Raw genomic sequence first — 16,225 nt, 5'->3', positions numbered from 1 at the left:
TTCTGCCAGCATCTGCTACTTGCAGGGGGACACAGGCAGGGGATGGCAGAGCTGTGATTTGAACCCACTTCACCCTAAGAGGTCCCTGCTTCTTACCTGTCTGATTCCAGAGCTCACAGCGCAAACAGGGACACCACTACCCTCACCAGCCGTTCCCATCTGCTGCTGTGTCCCCTCTGCCTCCAGGTCCCGTCAGCCTCTCTCTATGGGCATCTTCCCCCCACCCCTGCTTCTTTGGGTCTCAATACCCAGCTCCCCAGCCCAGTTACCTCCTCTGAATCTCTACCGTCTGCTGTCCCCTCTTCTCCCTGGATCTCTGCCCCACTTTTTGGGTCTATGTTTCCCTCTCTCTCTAGGTCTCTGTCCCCCTCTCTCTGGGTCTCTGTCCCTCTCTCTCTGGGTCTCTGTCCCTCTCTCTCTTTCTTTTTTTTTGGCAGATTTTTGCTTTTGTTGCCCAGGCTGGAGTGCGATGGCACGATCTTGGCTCACTGCAACCTCCGCCTCCCGGGTTCAAGCGGTTCTCCTGCCTCAGCCTCCCAGGTAGCTGGGATTACAGGCAGGTGCCACCACGCTAGGCTAATTTTTTGTATTTTTAGTAGAAACGGGGTTTCACCATGTTAGCCAGGCTGGTCTTGAACTCCTGACCTCAGGTGATCCACCGGCCTCAGCCTCCCAAAGTGCTGGGATTACAGGCGTGAGCCACCACGCCTGGATCTCTGTCCCTCTCTCTCTGGGTCTCTGTCCCTCTGTCTCTGGATCTCTGTCCCTCTGTCTCTGGGTCTCTGTCCCCCTCTCTCTGGGTCTCTGTCCCCCTCTCTCTGGGTCTCTGTTACCCTCTGGGTCTCTGTCCCCCTCTCTCTGGTTGTCTGTCCCCTCCCTGGGTCTCTTTCCCCTCCCTGGGTCTCTGCCCTGCTCACTCTGCCCCACCTCTCCCCAGGTATGACATTCTTCAGTCCTGCTGGCGGCCACCTGCCCAGCGCCCTTCAGCCTCTGATCTCCAATTGCAGCTCACCTACTTGCTCTCCGAGCGGCCTCCCCGGCCCCCACCGCCGCCACCCCCACCCCGAGACGGTCCCTTCCCCTGGCCCTGGCCCCCTGCACACAGTGCGCCCCGCCCGGGGACCCTCTCCTCACCGTTCCCCCTACTGGATGGCTTCCCTGGAGCCGACCCCGACGATGTGCTCACGGTCACCGAGAGTAGCCGCGGCCTCAACCTCGAGTGCCTGTGGGAGAAGGCCCGGCGTGGGGCCGGCCGGGGTGGGGGGGCACCTGCCTGGCAGCCGGCGTCGGCCCCCCCGGCCCCCCACGCCAACCCCTCCAACCCTTTCTACGAGGCGCTGTCCACGCCCAGCGTGCTGCCTGTCATCAGCGCCCGCAGCCCCTCCGTGAGCAGCGAGTACTACATCCGCTTGGAGGAGCACGGCTCCCCTCCTGAGCCCCTCTTCCCCAACGACTGGGACCCCCTGGACCCAGGAGTGCCCGCCCCTCAGGCCCCCCAGGCCCCCTCCGAGGTCCCCCAGCTGGTGTCCGAGACCTGGGCCTCCCCCCTCTTCCCTGCGCCCCGGCCCTTCCCAGCCCAGTCCTCAGCGTCAGGCAGCTTCCTGCTGAGCGGCTGGGACCCCGAGGGCCGGGGCGCCGGGGAGACCCTGGCGGGAGACCCTGCCGAGGTCTTGGGGGAGCGGGGGACCGCCCCGTGGGTGGAAGAAGAAGAGGAGGAGGAGGAGGGCAGCTCCCCAGGGGAAGACAGCAGCAGCCTTGGAGGTGGCCCAAGCCGCCGGGGTCCCCTACCCTGTCCCCTGTGCAGCCGCGAGGGGGCCTGCTCCTGCCTGCCACTGGAGCGGGGGGACGCCGTAGCAGGCTGGGGAGGCCACCCTGCTCTTGGCTGCCCCCACCCCCCCGAGGACGACTCCTCGCTGCGGGCAGAGCGGGGCTCCCTGGCCGACTTGCCCATGGCCCCCCCCGCCTCGGCCCCCCCCGAGTTTCTGGACCCCCTCATGGGGGCGGCGGCGCCCCAGTACCCCGGGCGGGGGCCACCTCCCGCTCCCCCCCCCCCGCCGCCACCTCCTCGGGCCCCCGCGGACCCGGCCGCGTCCCCCGACCCCCCTTCGGCCGTGGCCAGTCCCGGTTCAGGCCTCTCGTCGCCGGGCCCCAAGCCGGGGGACAGCGGCTACGAGACCGAGACCCCTTTTTCCCCAGAGGGAGCCTTCCCAGGTGGGGGGGCGGCCGAGGAGGAAGGGGTCCCTCGGCCGCGGGCTCCCCCCGAGCCACCCGACCCAGGAGCGCCCCGGCCACCTCCAGACCCGGGTCCGCTCCCACTCCCGGGGCCCCGGGAGAAGCCGACCTTCGTGGTTCAAGTGAGCACGGAACAGCTGCTGATGTCCCTGCGGGAGGATGTGACAAGGAACCTCCTGGGGGAGAAGGGGGCGACAGCCCGGGAGACAGGACCCAGGAAGGCGGGGAGAGGCCCCGGGAACAGAGAGAAAGTCCCGGGCCTGAACAGGGACCCGACAGTCCTGGGCAACGGGAAACAAGCCCCAAGCCTGAGCCTCCCAGTGAACGGGGTGACAGTGCTGGAGAACGGGGACCAGAGAGCCCCAGGCATCGAGGAGAAGGCGGCGGAGAATGGGGCCCTGGGGTCCCCCGAGAGAGAAGAGAAAGTGCTGGAGAATGGGGAGCTGACACCCCCAAGGAGGGAGGAGAAAGCGCTGGAGAATGGGGAGCTGAGGTCCCCAGAGGCCGGGGAGAAGGTGCTGGTGAATGGGGGCCTGACACCCCCAAAGAGCGAGGACAAGGTGTCAGAGAATGGGGGCCTGAGATTCCCCAGGAACACGGAGAGGCCACCAGAGACTGGGCCTTGGAGAGCCCCAGGGCCCTGGGAGAAGACGCCCGAGAGTTGGGGTCCAGCCCCCACGATCGGGGAGCCAGCCCCAGAGACCTCTCTGGAGAGAGCCCCTGCACCCAGCGCAGTGGTCTCCTCCCGGAACGGCGGGGAGACAGCCCCTGGCCCCCTTGGCCCAGCCCCCAAGAACGGGACGCTGGAACCCGGGACCGAGAGGAGAGCCCCCGAGACTGGGGGGGCGCCGAGAGCCCCAGGGGCTGGGAGGCTGGACCTCGGGAGTGGGGGCCGAGCCCCAGTGGGCACGGGGACGGCCCCCGGCGGCGGCCCCGGAAGCGGCGTGGACGCAAAGGCCGGATGGGTAGACAACACGAGGCCGCAGCCACCGCCGCCACCGCTGCCACCGCCACCGGAGGCACAGCCGAGGAGGCTGGAGCCAGCGCCCCCGAGAGCCAGGCCGGAGGTGGCCCCCGAGGGAGAGCCCGGGGCCCCAGACAGCAGGGCCGGCGGAGACACGGCACTCAGCGGAGACGGGGACCCCCCCAAGCCCGAGAGGAAGGGCCCCGAGATGCCACGACTATTCTTGGACTTGGGACCCCCTCAGGGGAACAGCGAGCAGATCAAAGGTGAGGAGGCTGCGGGGCACAGTCAGGGCTGAGGTCCGGCTGTTTCCGAGGCGTGCGGAGGGTGAGTGTGGGTAAACATGTCGGGTCGGGCTGGCAGTGATGAATGCAGGTCCTGAAGCCTGCACCACCTGGGCTCACATCGTGGCTCAGCCCCCTCTCTAGCTCTTTGGCCTTGGGCAAATGTCCTTGCTGCACGGTGCCTCAGTTTACCCATCTGCCAAAAACGGATGGCAGGGATAGAACCTACGTCATAGGGTTGCTGTGAAGGTTAAATGAATTAGGACATCCAAGGCACTTAATCAGAGCAAGGGATTCAGTAAGCACCTGCTTTTATTATTGCAACTCACTTAGACCAGGGGTCTCAAACTCATGCCCACAGGGGCCAGACGACATAGGGAAACGGATGAAGCATGCTAGGGAGGCAGAGTGGGGCTTCAGAAGAAAATGCCCTGTGTAGAAGGGGCAGCCACTTCTCAGGAATGTGCACCTGGTGTTGGCGAATCTGCTACTTTTCCCTTTTAAACTAGAGCTCTGGTTTTTATTTCTTTTGTTTTTATGGTTGCAGCCAGTTCAAAGGAAGCCTGTCTGTGGATGGCTCAAGGGCCCCAGGCTGCCAGCGTGTGCTGATTTAAACTTAATAAGCTGGCTGGGCTCTGTGGCTCATGCCTGTGATCCCAGCACTTTGGGAGGCTGAGGCAGGAGGATCACTTGAGGTCAGGAGTTTGAGACCAGCCTGGCCAACATGGCGAAACCCCATCTCTACTAAAAATACAAAAGTTAGCCAGGCATGGGCCGGGCATGGTGGGTGGCTCATGCCTGTAATCCCAGCACTTTGGGAGGCCGAGGTGGGCGGATCACCTGAGGTCAGGAGTTCAAGACCAGCCTGGACAACATGGCAAAACCCTGTCTCTATTAAAAATACAAAAATTAGCCAGGCTTTATGGTAGGCGCCTATAATCCCAGCTACTCGGAAGGCTGAGGCAGGAGAATCGTTTGAAGCCAGGAGGCGGAGTTTGCACCGAGCCGAGATTGTGCCACTGCACTCCAGCCTGGGCGATAAAGCGAGACTCTGTCTCAGAAAAAAAAAAAAAGAAAAGAAAAAGAAAAAAAGAAAAAATTAGCCAGCGTGGTGGCATGCACCTGTAGTCCTAGCTACTTGGGAGGCTGAGGCACAAGAATCACTTGATCCTGTGAGTCAGAGATTGCAGTGAGCCGAGATCACGTCACTGCACTCCAGCCTGGGTGACAGAGCAAGACTCTGTCTCAAACAAAACAAAACAAAACAAAACAAACAGAAACAAACAAACAACAACTTTCCAGTAAGCTAAGGCATCTATCCAGTGTGCCAGGCCTCCTGTGTTCGAGGCCCTGAGCTGCCCAAGGCTGGGACCCAGGGAGCTTCAGATCTTGCCCTGACAACTCCACCACCATAGGACTAGTGAGCTGGAAGGCACAGATATGCCTTTCTGAAAATTAAGTTTTGGTAGGAATGCAGGAAGTATTTTGCCACAGAGAAAACTCTTTAAGATAAATGAAGGGTAAAAATAAATAGCCCTTGTTTAGATGTGGACATAGGAAATACAGTTCCAGCAGAATCTCTGGGAGGCGCAACTTCTTTAAATACGGGTATGAAAGTTATAAGTGGCTGGGTCCTGTTTTATATTGGCAACCTCACAGCCACACTTGAGGAAACAGTTATCATCTCCATAGAGGAGCCTGTGGCTCAGTGGGCAAGGGTCAGGAAGTGGGCTGGACAGAGGACGTTTCTTCCTCATAGCCTGTGGTGTTCGAACACTGTCACTTCCTTGAGATTGTTGTAGGGAGTTTGTGAACAGCTGTATCAGGAAACAGCCCAGGCTGCATGAAAATGTTGGGAGATGAGCAGCTAAGATGCGTCAGAGGATCTGGGTTGGATTAGGATTGGGGGGTGAAAAGAGGCAGAGAATGGCCCGCTTTTTCCCAAGTGAACTACTCATCCTTCAAGACCCCAAATTTCCCCTTTCCAGGAAGCCTTCCCTAATTTTTAAAGGTTGTCAACCTGACCTTCATCTGGGTACTCATAACTCCAGAAAAACCCCCTCTAGGCTGGGTGCGGTGGCTCACACCTGTAATCCCAGCACTTTGGGAGGCCGAGGTGGGAGGATCGCCTGAGGTCAGGAGTTCGAGACCAGCCTGGCCAACATGGTGAAACCCTGTCTCTACTAAAAATACAAAAATTAGCTGAGCGTGGGGGCAGGCACCTGTAATCCCAGCTACTCGGGAGGCTGAGGCAGGAGAATCGCTTGAACTCAGGAGGCGGAGGTTGCAATGCGCCGAGATCGTACCACTGCACTCCAGCCTGGGCGACGAGAGCAAGACTTCATTTCAAAAAAAAAAACAAAAAAAACACTCCCTCTATGAAGCATCGCCCATAACCCCATCACCCTGAGATGTCTGGTCAACAAAAGTGTGACTTTTGAGCAGATGTGAAGGAAAGGAGGGAGTGAGGCAGGTGGACATCGGTGGGAGAGTGTTCTAGAGAGGGCACTGAGATGTGCACTGGCTCACCATGTTTAGAGAATAGCAAAAGGTAGTAAAACTTGAGTAGAGAGAACGAGGACCTGAGAGGGACCGTCTGCATTCATCTTTCTCCCTGCCCCACCTCCACCCTCCTCTTGCCCCTGCCATCAGCTCAGAAAGGGCAGTTCACTTATGCAGTAATGGAGGGCTAAGTGACCCTTGTTCATTTGCCAGTGAGGAAACAGAGGCTCAGAGAGGTGGATCTGGCCGGGTGTGGTGGCTCATGCCTGTAATCCCAGCACTTTGGGAGGCCAAAGAGGGCAGATCATAAGGTCAGGAGTTCAAGACCAGCCTGGCCAGCATGGTGAAACCCCGTCTCTACTAAAAATACAAAAAATTAGCCGGGCATGGTGGCACGTGCGCCTGTAGTCCCAGCTATTCGGTGGGAGGAATGGTGGGGTGGCCCATGTGGCTAGATGGAGGTCAGGCCAGAGGAGGTGGGGACAGAGGCCAGAGAAATCAGGTAGGCCAGGGCATGAGGGCCTGGTGGGCTGTGGGAAGTTGCGGCTTAAAGCCGTTGGCACTGGGGAGCTCTGGGGAGGTTGAGCACTGGAGAGGACCTTTCCCACCCTGCCTGGAGAAGCCCTGGTGCAGCCCTTCCGTTCACAAAGTGGGTGCTGAGGCCCAGATTGTGCGGGGGTCTTATCTGAGGCCACACAGCTAGGTGGGAGGGCCTGCCTCAGTTTCACCGGGACAGGGGCTCACCAGGTCTCTCCCCTCGCAGCCAGGCTCTCCCGGCTCTCGCTGGCGCTGCCGCCGCTCACGCTCACGCCATTCCCGGGGCCGGGCCCGCGGCGGCCCCCGTGGGAGGGCGCGGACGCCGGGGCGGCTGGCGGGGAGGCCGGCGGGGCGGGAGCGCCGGGGCCGGCGGAGGAGGACGGGGAGGACGAGGACGAGGACGAGGAGGAGGACGAGGAGGCGGCGGCGCCGGGCGCGGCGGCGGGGCCGCGGGGCCCCGGGAGGGCGCGAGCAGCCCCGGTGCCCGTCGTGGTGAGCAGCGCCGACGCGGACGCGGCCCGCCCGCTGCGGGGGCTGCTCAAGTCTCCGCGCGGGGCCGACGAGCCAGAGGACAGCGAGCTGGAGAGGAAGCGCAAGATGGTCTCCTTCCACGGGGACGTGACCGTCTACCTCTTCGACCAGGTGCGGAACCCGAGAGGGCGCGGTTTCGGGGTCGCGGCCTGGAGGGAGCAGGAGCCTAGAGCCGGGAAGGGCCTGGCGGGAGGCCGAGCTTAGAGTTGGGCGGGGCCTGGAGGGAGGCGGAGCTGGAGTGGGGCGGGGCCTGAAGGGAGGCCGAGCTAGGGTGGGGCGGGGCCTGGAGGGAGGCCGAGTTAGAGTGGGGCGTGGCCTGAAGGGAGGCCGAGCTGGAGTGATGCGGGGCCTGGAGGGAGGGCAAGCTGAATTGGGGTGGGACCTAAGGGGAGCCCCAATCTAGAGTGGGGCGGGGCCTGGGGCGGGGCCGAGCTAGAGTGGGGCGGGGCCCAGGGAGAGGGCGGGCTGGGGGGCGGAGCCCAGGGCGGGGCCTGGAGGGAGGTCGAGCCTAGAGGTGCAGGGCCTGGGGCGGGGCCTAGACGAAGGCTGAGCTTAGGGTGGGGCGGGGTCTACAGCAGGGTTTGAAGGCAGGCTGAGCCTAGAGCGGGGGCGGGGCCTGGAAGGAGACCGCGCCTAGGATCGGGACAGAGTCTGGATCCGGGCCTGAGGGAGGCCAAGTCTGTGGCGCGGCAAGAGGAGGCCTGGAGAAAATCCAAGGCTGGAATGGGGGCGGAGCCTAGGGCGGGGCGGATGGAGCAGGGCGCGGGAAGGGCCTGAGGGGTGAAGGCGGGGTCTGGGGAGAGACTGGTCAGGGAAATGGGGCGGGACTAGGAAGATGGGAGGAGGCTTTGAGTGTGAGGGCAGGGCCTGGCAATGGGGCAGGGCCAGGAGTATGGGCCGAGCCTAGAGCTGGGGCGGGACCTAGGGTGAGGGCAGGGCTTGTGACGGGGGCGTGGTCTAGAGGGCGAGGAGAGGTCTGGAGAGAGAGTGTGGGTCTGGAAGGAAAGAGGGGGTACTGGGTAGTCAAGTATGGGATCCTGGAGAGGCTAGGGAGGAAGTGTTGAGAAGAGGCCTGGATGGTGAAGGGGCCTAGTGAGAGTTTGGGCATGGTTTGTTGACTAGAGTTCTAGTGTCTGTAGGCTGGTTCGGGTTGGAGCAGATCTTACCCACTAGGGAAGGGCCATGGCTAGGCTGCAGGTGGGCTTCAGAGATGGAGCAGGCAGTCTTAACGTATTCTGGGGTGAGGTCAGGGATGAGCGAACCTAACGACTGGGACGGGTCTTTAGAGAGATGGGTTGAGGAATGTGTTAAGAGTTAGGCCTGTCCCGGGTGGCTCACGCCTGTAATCCCAGCACTTTGGGAGGCCGAGGCGGGAGGATCACTTGAGGTCAAGAGTTCGAGACCAGCCTAGCCAAAATGGCGAGACCTCGTCTCTTAAAAAGAAAAAAATTATCTTGGTGTGGTGGTGCGCATCTGTAGTCCCAGCTACTTAGGAGGCTCAGGTGGGAGGATCGCTTGAGCCCAGGAGGTTGAGGCTGCATTGAGCCATGATCACAACACTGCTCTCCAGCCTGGGCGACAGTGAGACTCTGTCTAAAACAAAAAGAAAAACACAGGATATGGTGTTGAAGAGAAAAAGGGAGGGCGAGTGGTGCTGAGGAACTGGGACCTTGTCTAGATGAACCTGGGGCGGGCATACTGGGCTGAGATTATGAAAGGAATGGAAACAAGGCCAAGAACTGGGGCCTGGGCCACTGAAATGTTTTCAGAGGGGTGGGACTTGGAGGGCGGGAGCAGGTCTACTTCTGAGGGAGGGCTCAGGGGCAGGGTCACAGCATCCAGCACGGCATGCGCTCAGGATGGGGCAGGGGTTGGGAGGGCCACTGGAGCAGGTCAAGATCTCAGAGGTGGGTGGGACTGACGTGGACGGGGTGGGGCTTATGGAGATCGCTTTGGGTTAGGGGATCCGGTGGAGGCCTCACGTTAATGAGCCAGGAGAGAATCCCTGCGTTGGGCTACTTAGCTGTGCGCGGGGCTCCGCTGTCAGGAAAGGAGCCTCTGGCCAGGTTGAGGTTAAGGCTGGCCCAAGGCTTCGAAGCCAGATTAGGGGCTCCAGCCACCTCTCCAGAGCGTGCGAGTCAGTGATTACAAATTGGGATTCCTAGAGCCCCAGAAATATTAGCCGGTTTTGTTGCTTTTGGGGGATGCGGTAAATGGGACGTGAAGGTTTGTCCCCTCTGGCTTCCCCCTAATCTGCCTTCACAGGAGACGCCAACCAACGAGCTGAGCGTCCAGGCCCCCCCCGAGGGGGACACGGACCCGTCAACGCCTCCAGCGCCCCCGACACCTCCCCACCCCGCCACCCCCGGAGATGGGTTTCCCAGCAACGACAGCGGCTTTGGTGAGGACGGGCCCTATGGGGCGGGAGGGGGCGGGAGCCATGGGGCGGACGGGGCGGGGTCTATGGGGTGGGAGGGGCTTGGTCGGGAGGGGCGGGACCAGAGGGCGGGAGTGCCGCAGGTGTCTGCAGCCTGACCGCGGTCTTTCCTTCTGCCGCAGGAGGCAGTTTCGAGTGGGCGGAGGATTTCCCCCTCCTCCCCCCTCCAGGCCCCCCGCTGTGCTTCTCCCGCTTCTCCGTCTCGCCTGCGCTGGAGACCCCGGGGCCACCCGCCCGGGCCCCCGACGCCCGGCCCGCAGGTACCATATCCTCGGCCCTGCCCCCTCCTCTGCCCATCTCTGTCCCCCTATGTTCCACTGCCAACTTCTTGTGACCATCTTTCAATGTCCCTGCCTCTCTCTTCCCAGTCTCTTCTCTCTCCCCTCTCAGTCAACAGACACCCCACCCAGCTCTGGAACCAGCTCAGACCAGGCGACGTCCATCAGACGGTCGTAGGCAGGCAGGCCGGCCGTCCCCAACCCCCGAGCCTCAGTTTTACCTTCTGTGGGGATTACCCCCACCCCCGACTCTTGCCCATCTTTGTCCCATCTCTGGGCTCAGACTCCGGCCTGGCACTTGCCGGATCCTGATCCCACCTCCGTTTGGGGAACACGGTGCTCAGGGGCAGACAAGGAGAGAGAAACCCAGAGTGCTCAAAGCCGGTTGGTGTGAACCAGAGCAGGGAGGACACAGCTGGGGGTTAGAGAGCAGTCACAGCGGCACCGCTGCTCTCGCGTGGACCCTGCAGTGCCTCACCACAGTTTAACCCATTTAATGTTCATTGCGATCCCATGGGGTGGATTCTAGCCTCGTCCTCATTTTTTTTTTTTTTTTTTTTTTTTTGAGACGGAGTCTCGCTCTGTCGCCCAGGCTGGAGGGAGTGGTGGAATCTACGCTCAGTGCAACCTCTGCCTCCTGGGTTCAAACGATTCTCGTGTCTCAGCCGCCCAAGTAGCTGGGTTCACAGGAGTGCACCACCACGCCCAGCTACTTTTTTTGTATTTTTACTACAGACAGGGTTTCACCATGTTGGCCAGGCTGGTCTCCAACTCCTGACCTGGAATGATCCACCCACCTCGGCCTCCCAAAGTGCTGGGATTACAGGCGTGAGCCACCGGGCCTGGCCAGTCTGGTCCCAATTTTACAAAAGAGAACACTGAGGCACGGAGAGAAGTGAGGAGCTGGGATTCAAACCCACAGTTGCGCGGCCTCTGAGTCTGTGCCCTCTCCAGTAGTGAACATTGGTCAGGTTTCTTTCCTGGCGTTTCACATGCGCCATATCGCTAATCCTCGTGGCCACCTTGGGAGAGGGGTCATGCCGCCCCTAGTTTCCAACTTTTAGCGATGCTAAGGCCACTCTGGGAGAGCAGGGCACACGGGCAGGTCCCAGCGCAGGACTGGAACGGGACTGGGCTCTCTGCTGCCCTCTGCTGCCGAGCCAGGGAACACCCCCAGGACCCAGGGCTTGTGCCCAGCTCGGCAGGACAGGTGGTGCTCCCCGGTATCAGAGCTAAGGTAGAAGACGCCACTGGAGGGTTTCACTCCTACTTCCCCAATCTTGCCTGAGTCCAGATATTGTCCCTGCCATTTCTTAGCTGTGTGACCTGGGGCAAGTCGCTTTCCCTCTCTGTGCTTCAGTTCCCTCATCTGTAGAGTGGGAATGATAACAGGATCTAACTCATGAGATTGCTGAGGGAATTAAATGGCTTAATCCTCCCGAGTATGCAGCACAGCGCCTGTGCAGCAGCAGTCTCTAACCATTAGCTATTATTATTATTTAGTTAGTTAGTATTTTTGAGACGGAGTTTTGCTCGTCGCCCAAGCCGAAGTGCAATGGTGTGATCTCGGCTCATTGCAACCTCCACCTCCCGGGTTCAAGCGATTCTCCTGCCTCAGCCTCCTGAGTAGCTGGAATTACAGGCACCCACCACCACACCTGGCTAACTTTTGTATTTTTAGTAGAGACGGGGTTTCACCATGTTGGACAGGCTGGTCTTGAACTCCAGACCTCAGGCGATCTGCCCGCCTTGGCCTCCCAGCTGGGATTACAGGCATGAGCCACCATGCCCGGCCCCATTAGCTATTATTATTATTATTAGCTATTACTGCACTTAATTAAGTCAATGTTTTCTGATCATCTTCTGCGTGCAGGCGCCATGCTGGGCACAGGGGATTCAATGTGGAGCAAGACGGGTGAGCCTGCCTGGCCCTCCCCGCAGACACTGACCACACACTGCTATGACAAATGAAGAACTGCAAACTCAGGCTTGCAGAGAAAGCAGATGACAAGAGGAAAGGGCTTTGTTTTCCCCTTAGAAGTGTCATTTAAGGCCAGGCACAGTGGCTTACGCCTGTAAGCCCAGCACTTTGGGAGGCCAAGGCAGGCAGATCACCTGAGGTCAGGAGTTCAAGACCAGCCTGACCAACATGGAGAAACCCTGTCTCTACTAAAAGTACAAAATTAGTTGGGTATGGTGGCGCATGCCTGTAATCCCAGCTACTTGGGAGGGTGAGGCAGGAGAATCGCTTAAACCTGGGAGGTGGAGGTTGCGGTGAGCCGAGATCAAGCCATTGCACTCCAGCCTGGGCAACAAGAGCAAAACTCCATCTCAAAAAAAAAAAAAAAAAAGTGTAATTTAACTGGGAACTGGAAGGGTTGGTTGTCATTAACTAGGTGAAGGGGAAGGGGATGGCGTGCTGGCAGAGGGGACAGCTTGCACACAGGGCCTGAGGCAGGAGAGAGCTTGGCCCGCTCAAGGAACAGAAGGACACTGGTGTGGCTTCAGGGTTACTTAGAGTGCATGGAGGGCTGAGGAGAGATGGCAGGGGGTGCACTGAGGAGCTGGGACTTTGTCCTGGGGGTGCCAGGGAGCCACGGACGACTATAAGCAAGGGAGGGAAGTCAATGTTGGGTGTAGGAAGACTGCTCTGGGGTCTCTTGGGGGCAGAAGGGCAAGAGTGGGAGCTGGGAGGCTGGGGAAAGGCTGAGGAGAGGATAGTGAGCCAGGGCTGTGGGAATGGAGAGGTTGGACAGGGCAGAGAGTCAAGGGCAGGTGGGACAGGTCTGGGGGCTGACTCTTCCTTCACTTGGCTGCATCCTCAGGCTTCACTCTGAATGTCACTTTCTCCCTTAGGCCATCATCGCAGGGCCTCTGTGAGGACAGGGTGGGGGTGCATTCCAGGGTATGGGGACACTGCCAAGTGGTGAGTCAGGGCTGAGCTGGCAGGGCTGGCAAGCGAGAATGGCTTCACCTTTAATCACCAGGAGAGGAGACGGAGGGTGCAATTGTGCCAAACCCCAAATCCTTTCGCTCAGTTGACAAATATTCCTGCGGCAGCGTGGGCTGCGAGCTGCTGAGCCTGTCTGGCTCCCAAGACCATGGTGTGGGGGCCTGAGGCGGGTCCTCTCCTCTGCCCTGCTCAATGTGGCTCTGTCCACTTAGCAAACATTTACTGGGTACCAAGAGATGCCACATACCCCAAAGTCTCCATGAAGCATGAAGGTCATGCTTCCCATTAAAAGAGCGAAACTCAAGCTCAGGGACTGGGAGTGAGGGCAGTGACTTGACCCAGGCCTCCCAGGTACAAAGTACAGGGTGGAGCATGAGGGAGCCTGATATGAGGCCCCCAACGAGAACCTGCACCTCCTGGACCTTAGCTTTCTGGTCTGTACAATGGATGGGGCTTTCATTCTGCTCGCCCAGGGAAGTCAGAGCTAGAGTCATAGGAAAGTTTGGTCGGAGTTCCTGGGGAGAGCTCTTTCCACAGGGAAAAGGTGTGCTTTGTGCCAGACGGGATGCTGGGGACACAGCAGTGACCGCAGCTCCTGTCATCATTGAGCTTACATTTTATAGGAACAAGCAGACAGGAAGCTTTTCCACAAGGACAGGGTAGGCCAGGCATGGTGGCTCACACCTGTAATTCCAGCACTTTGTGAGACCAAGGCGGGCAGATCATTTGAGGTCAGGAGTTCGAGACCAGCCGGCCAACATGGTGAAACCCCGTCTGTATGAAAAATACAAAAATTAGCCAGGTGGGCTGGGCGCGTGGCTCACACTTGTAATCCCAGTACTTTGGGAGGCCGAGGCAGGTGGATCACAAGGTCAGGAGTTCGAGACCAGCTTGGCCAATATGGTGAAACCCCATCTCTCCTAAAAATACAAAAATTAGCTGGGTGTGGTGGCACACCTCTGTAATCTCAGCTACTTGGGAGGCTGAGGCAGGAGAATTGCTTGAACCTGGGAGGTGGAGGTTGCATTGAGCCAAGATCGTGCCACTGTACTCCAGCCTGGGCGACAGAATAAGACTCTGTCTTAAAAAAAAAAAAAAAAAAAAATAGCCGGGTGTGGTGGCAGGCACCTGCAATCCCAGCTACTCAGGAAGCTGAAGCAGGAGAATTGCTTGAATCCAGGAGGCGAAGGTTTCAGCAAGTCAAGATTGCGCCACTGCATGCCAGCCTGGGCAACAGAGTGAGACTCCATCTCAAAACAAACAAGCAAAACCCCCCCAAAAAACAAACAAGGACAGGTTCGGCCGGGCTCAGTGGCTCACGCCTGTAATCCTAGCACTTTGGGAGGCTGAGGTGGGTGGATCACGAGGTTGGGAGATTGAGACCATCCTGGCTAACACAGTAAAAACCCGTCTCTACTAAAACTACAAAAAATTAGCCGGGCGTAGTCGTGGGCACCTGTAGTCCCAGCTACTCGGGAAGCTGAGGCAGGAGAATGGCGTGAACCCAGGAGGCAGAGTTTGCAGTGAGCTGAGATCATGCCACTGCACTCCAGTCTGGGCAACAGAGCAAGACTCCATCTCAAAACAAAGCAGCAACAACAACAACAAAACCAAGGACAGGGTCATCCCAGAGTGACAAATGCAAACCAGTCAGAGGGAAATGAGTGAGAAAGATGAGCGTGCAGGGGTGACTGCTTGATTCAGTATGGTTGGGGAAGGACTCTGTGGAGGGGACGTTGCAGGTGGGGCCTGAGTCACGTAGGAAGAATGTTCCAAAAGGCCGGGCGCGGTGGCTCACGCCTGTAATCCCAGCACTTTGGGAGGCCGAGGCGGGTGGATCACGAGGTCAGGAGGTCGAGACCATCCCGGCTAAAACGGTGAAACCCCGTCTCTACTAAAAATACAAAAAATTAGCCGGGCGTAGTGGCGGGCGCCTGTAGTCCCAGCTACTTGGGAGGCTGAGGCAGGAGAATGGCGTGAACCCGGGAGGCGGAGCTTGCAGTGAGCCGAGATCGCGCCACTGCACTCCAGCCTGGGCGACAGAGCGAGACTCCGTCTCAAAAAAAAAAAAAAAAAAAAAAAAAAAAAAGGAAGAATGTTCCAGGCAGCGGGAACAGCATGTGCAAAGACCCAGGGGTCGGACCGTGCTGGGAGCACTGGAGGAACAGCAGGAGGCCCAGTGGCTGGAGCAGAGGGGAGAAGAGGGGTAGGTGAGGACAGAGAGGGAACAGAGCAGATCTTTTGGGCCATGGTGGGTGAGGGCTTTGCTTTTCCGCTGAGTGACCTAGAAGCCATGAGGCTGTCCCCCTAGTAATTTCATTTCTCTGTCTCCTCTGTCCATCCTCAGGCCCCGTGGAGAATTGATTCCCCGAAGACCCGACCCCGCTGCACCCTCAGAAGAGGGGTTGAGAATGGAATCCTCTGTGGATGACGGCGCCACTGCCACCACCGCAGACGCCGCCTCTGGGGAGGCCCCCGAGGCTGGGCCCTCCCCCTCCCACTCCCCTACCATGTGCCAAACGGGAGGCCCCGGGCCCCCGCCCCCCAGCCCCCCAGATGGCTCCCCTGACCCCCCTGACCCCCTCGGAGCCAAATGAGGCAGGAATCCCCCCGCCCCTCCATAGAGAGCCGCCTTTCTCGGAACTGAACTGAACTCTTTTGGGCCTGGAGCCCCTCGACACAGCGGAGGTCCCTCCTCACCCACTCCTGGCCCAAGACAGGGGCCGCAGGCTTCGGGGACCCGGACCCCCCATTTCGCGTCTCCCCTTTCCCTCCCCAGCCCGGCCCCTGGAGGGGCCTCTGGTTCAAACCTTCGCGTGGCATTTTCACATTATTTAAAAAAGACAAAAACAACTTTTTGGAGGAACACGGGGCCTGTGCGTATTTCGCGAGGTGAGGAGGGGAGGATGCAGGGAGCGAGTGCGACCCTGAGAAGTCCCATCCTCACAGCCTGGCCCGCATGGCAGATGGGACATCGGATGCTCAGAGAAGCGGAAACTCCCGCACAGTGGCGGAGGCCCGGCTTCTCTGCTTCTCCAGATCCCGGCTCTGCGCCTGGGGTTTGCATCGCCCAACCTTGGCCGCTGCAGCAGCAGCACTGCTGGCTCAAGAGGCCATAAGGATGAAGCAAGAGAATCGCTCGAACCCAGGAGACGGAGGTTGCAGTGAGCCAAGATCGTGCCACTGCATTCCAGCCTGGGCGACAGAGTGAGACTCCATCTCAAAAAAAAAAAACAAAAAACAAACAAACAAAAAACCATAAGGAGCCCACTGGGGTTGGGTGGGAAGGTGCAGGCTGCGGTCAGAGCCACGTTTCTGCAAGGTGGCCCGCGGTGGTGGCCAGACGCTATCCCAGGGCCAGGGGCTAGTGGGGCAGGGGCTCAGAAATGAGCTGCTCATGCCCACACTGGATCACGATCACATCCCACCCACCTCAGGTCGGCACTGCCTGTTCCTTGAAGTTCAGGGTCTACCTCCCCACCCAGCGTGGTGCTGCCTCAGTTTACC

At 59.5% G+C, this 16,225-nt stretch overlaps 1 protein-coding gene across 4 annotated transcripts in view, besides 9 other annotated features; it reads left to right on the top strand.

Moving 5' to 3' along the window:
- Positions 1 to 15,584, top strand: part of LMTK3 (lemur tyrosine kinase 3) — a 28,410-nt gene extending 12,826 nt beyond the window's left edge. For all 4 annotated transcript variants that reach the window (XM_011526412.3, XM_011526411.3, NM_001080434.2 and 1 more), the window contains 5 exons: positions 938 to 3,462; positions 6,746 to 7,161; positions 9,316 to 9,451; positions 9,610 to 9,747; positions 15,066 to 15,584. In XM_011526412.3, coding sequence (XP_011524714.1) covers positions 938 to 3,462; positions 6,746 to 7,161; positions 9,316 to 9,451; positions 9,610 to 9,747; positions 15,066 to 15,082 — 3,232 coding nt within the window. In that variant the 3' untranslated portion in view covers positions 15,083 to 15,584. The remainder of the gene's footprint in view (positions 1 to 937; positions 3,463 to 6,745; positions 7,162 to 9,315; positions 9,452 to 9,609; positions 9,748 to 15,065) is intronic.
- Positions 6,439 to 6,939: an enhancer, noted in NCBI's record as "H3K27ac hESC enhancer chr19:48997173-48997673 (GRCh37/hg19 assembly coordinates)". NCBI's record gives its function as "activates a minimal SCP1, AML or CMV promoter by ChIP-STARR-seq in naive H9 embryonic stem cells {active_cell/tissue: H9 hESC(naive)}" and the evidence as "EXISTENCE:reporter gene assay evidence [ECO:0000049][PMID:30033119]".
- Positions 6,952 to 7,001: a silencer, noted in NCBI's record as "silent region_10886". NCBI's record gives its function as "represses an Ori minimal core promoter by ATAC-STARR-seq in GM12878 lymphoblastoid cells {active_cell/tissue: GM12878}" and the evidence as "EXISTENCE:reporter gene assay evidence [ECO:0000049][PMID:35858748]".
- Positions 7,192 to 7,671: a silencer, noted in NCBI's record as "silent region_10885". NCBI's record gives its function as "represses an Ori minimal core promoter by ATAC-STARR-seq in GM12878 lymphoblastoid cells {active_cell/tissue: GM12878}" and the evidence as "EXISTENCE:reporter gene assay evidence [ECO:0000049][PMID:35858748]".
- Positions 7,192 to 7,692: a biological region, named in NCBI's record as "ReSE screen-validated silencer GRCh37_chr19:48996420-48996611".
- Positions 7,501 to 7,692: a silencer, noted in NCBI's record as "fragment chr19:48996420-48996611 (GRCh37/hg19 assembly coordinates)". NCBI's record gives its function as "represses an EF-1alpha promoter that drives an FKBP-Casp9 reporter gene in an ReSE screen in K562 erythroleukemia cells {active_cell/tissue: K562}" and the evidence as "EXISTENCE:reporter gene assay evidence [ECO:0000049][PMID:32094911]".
- Positions 7,692 to 7,901: a silencer, noted in NCBI's record as "silent region_10884". NCBI's record gives its function as "represses an Ori minimal core promoter by ATAC-STARR-seq in GM12878 lymphoblastoid cells {active_cell/tissue: GM12878}" and the evidence as "EXISTENCE:reporter gene assay evidence [ECO:0000049][PMID:35858748]".
- Positions 9,481 to 9,560: a silencer, noted in NCBI's record as "silent region_10883". NCBI's record gives its function as "represses an Ori minimal core promoter by ATAC-STARR-seq in GM12878 lymphoblastoid cells {active_cell/tissue: GM12878}" and the evidence as "EXISTENCE:reporter gene assay evidence [ECO:0000049][PMID:35858748]".
- Positions 9,621 to 9,800: a silencer, noted in NCBI's record as "silent region_10882". NCBI's record gives its function as "represses an Ori minimal core promoter by ATAC-STARR-seq in GM12878 lymphoblastoid cells {active_cell/tissue: GM12878}" and the evidence as "EXISTENCE:reporter gene assay evidence [ECO:0000049][PMID:35858748]".
- Positions 10,316 to 10,887: an enhancer, noted in NCBI's record as "H3K4me1 hESC enhancer chr19:48993225-48993796 (GRCh37/hg19 assembly coordinates)". NCBI's record gives its function as "activates a minimal SCP1, AML or CMV promoter by ChIP-STARR-seq in naive H9 embryonic stem cells {active_cell/tissue: H9 hESC(naive)}" and the evidence as "EXISTENCE:reporter gene assay evidence [ECO:0000049][PMID:30033119]".
- Positions 15,585 to 16,225: the final 641 nt, after the last annotated feature.

The sequence above is a fragment of the Homo sapiens genome, chromosome 19 (genome assembly GCF_000001405.40).
Source record: "Homo sapiens chromosome 19, GRCh38.p14 Primary Assembly".
In the NCBI taxonomy this organism is placed as follows: domain Eukaryota; kingdom Metazoa; phylum Chordata; class Mammalia; order Primates; family Hominidae; genus Homo; species Homo sapiens.
Note: the sequence above shows the minus strand (reverse complement) of the source record. Positions and strands in the feature narration are given on the sequence as shown.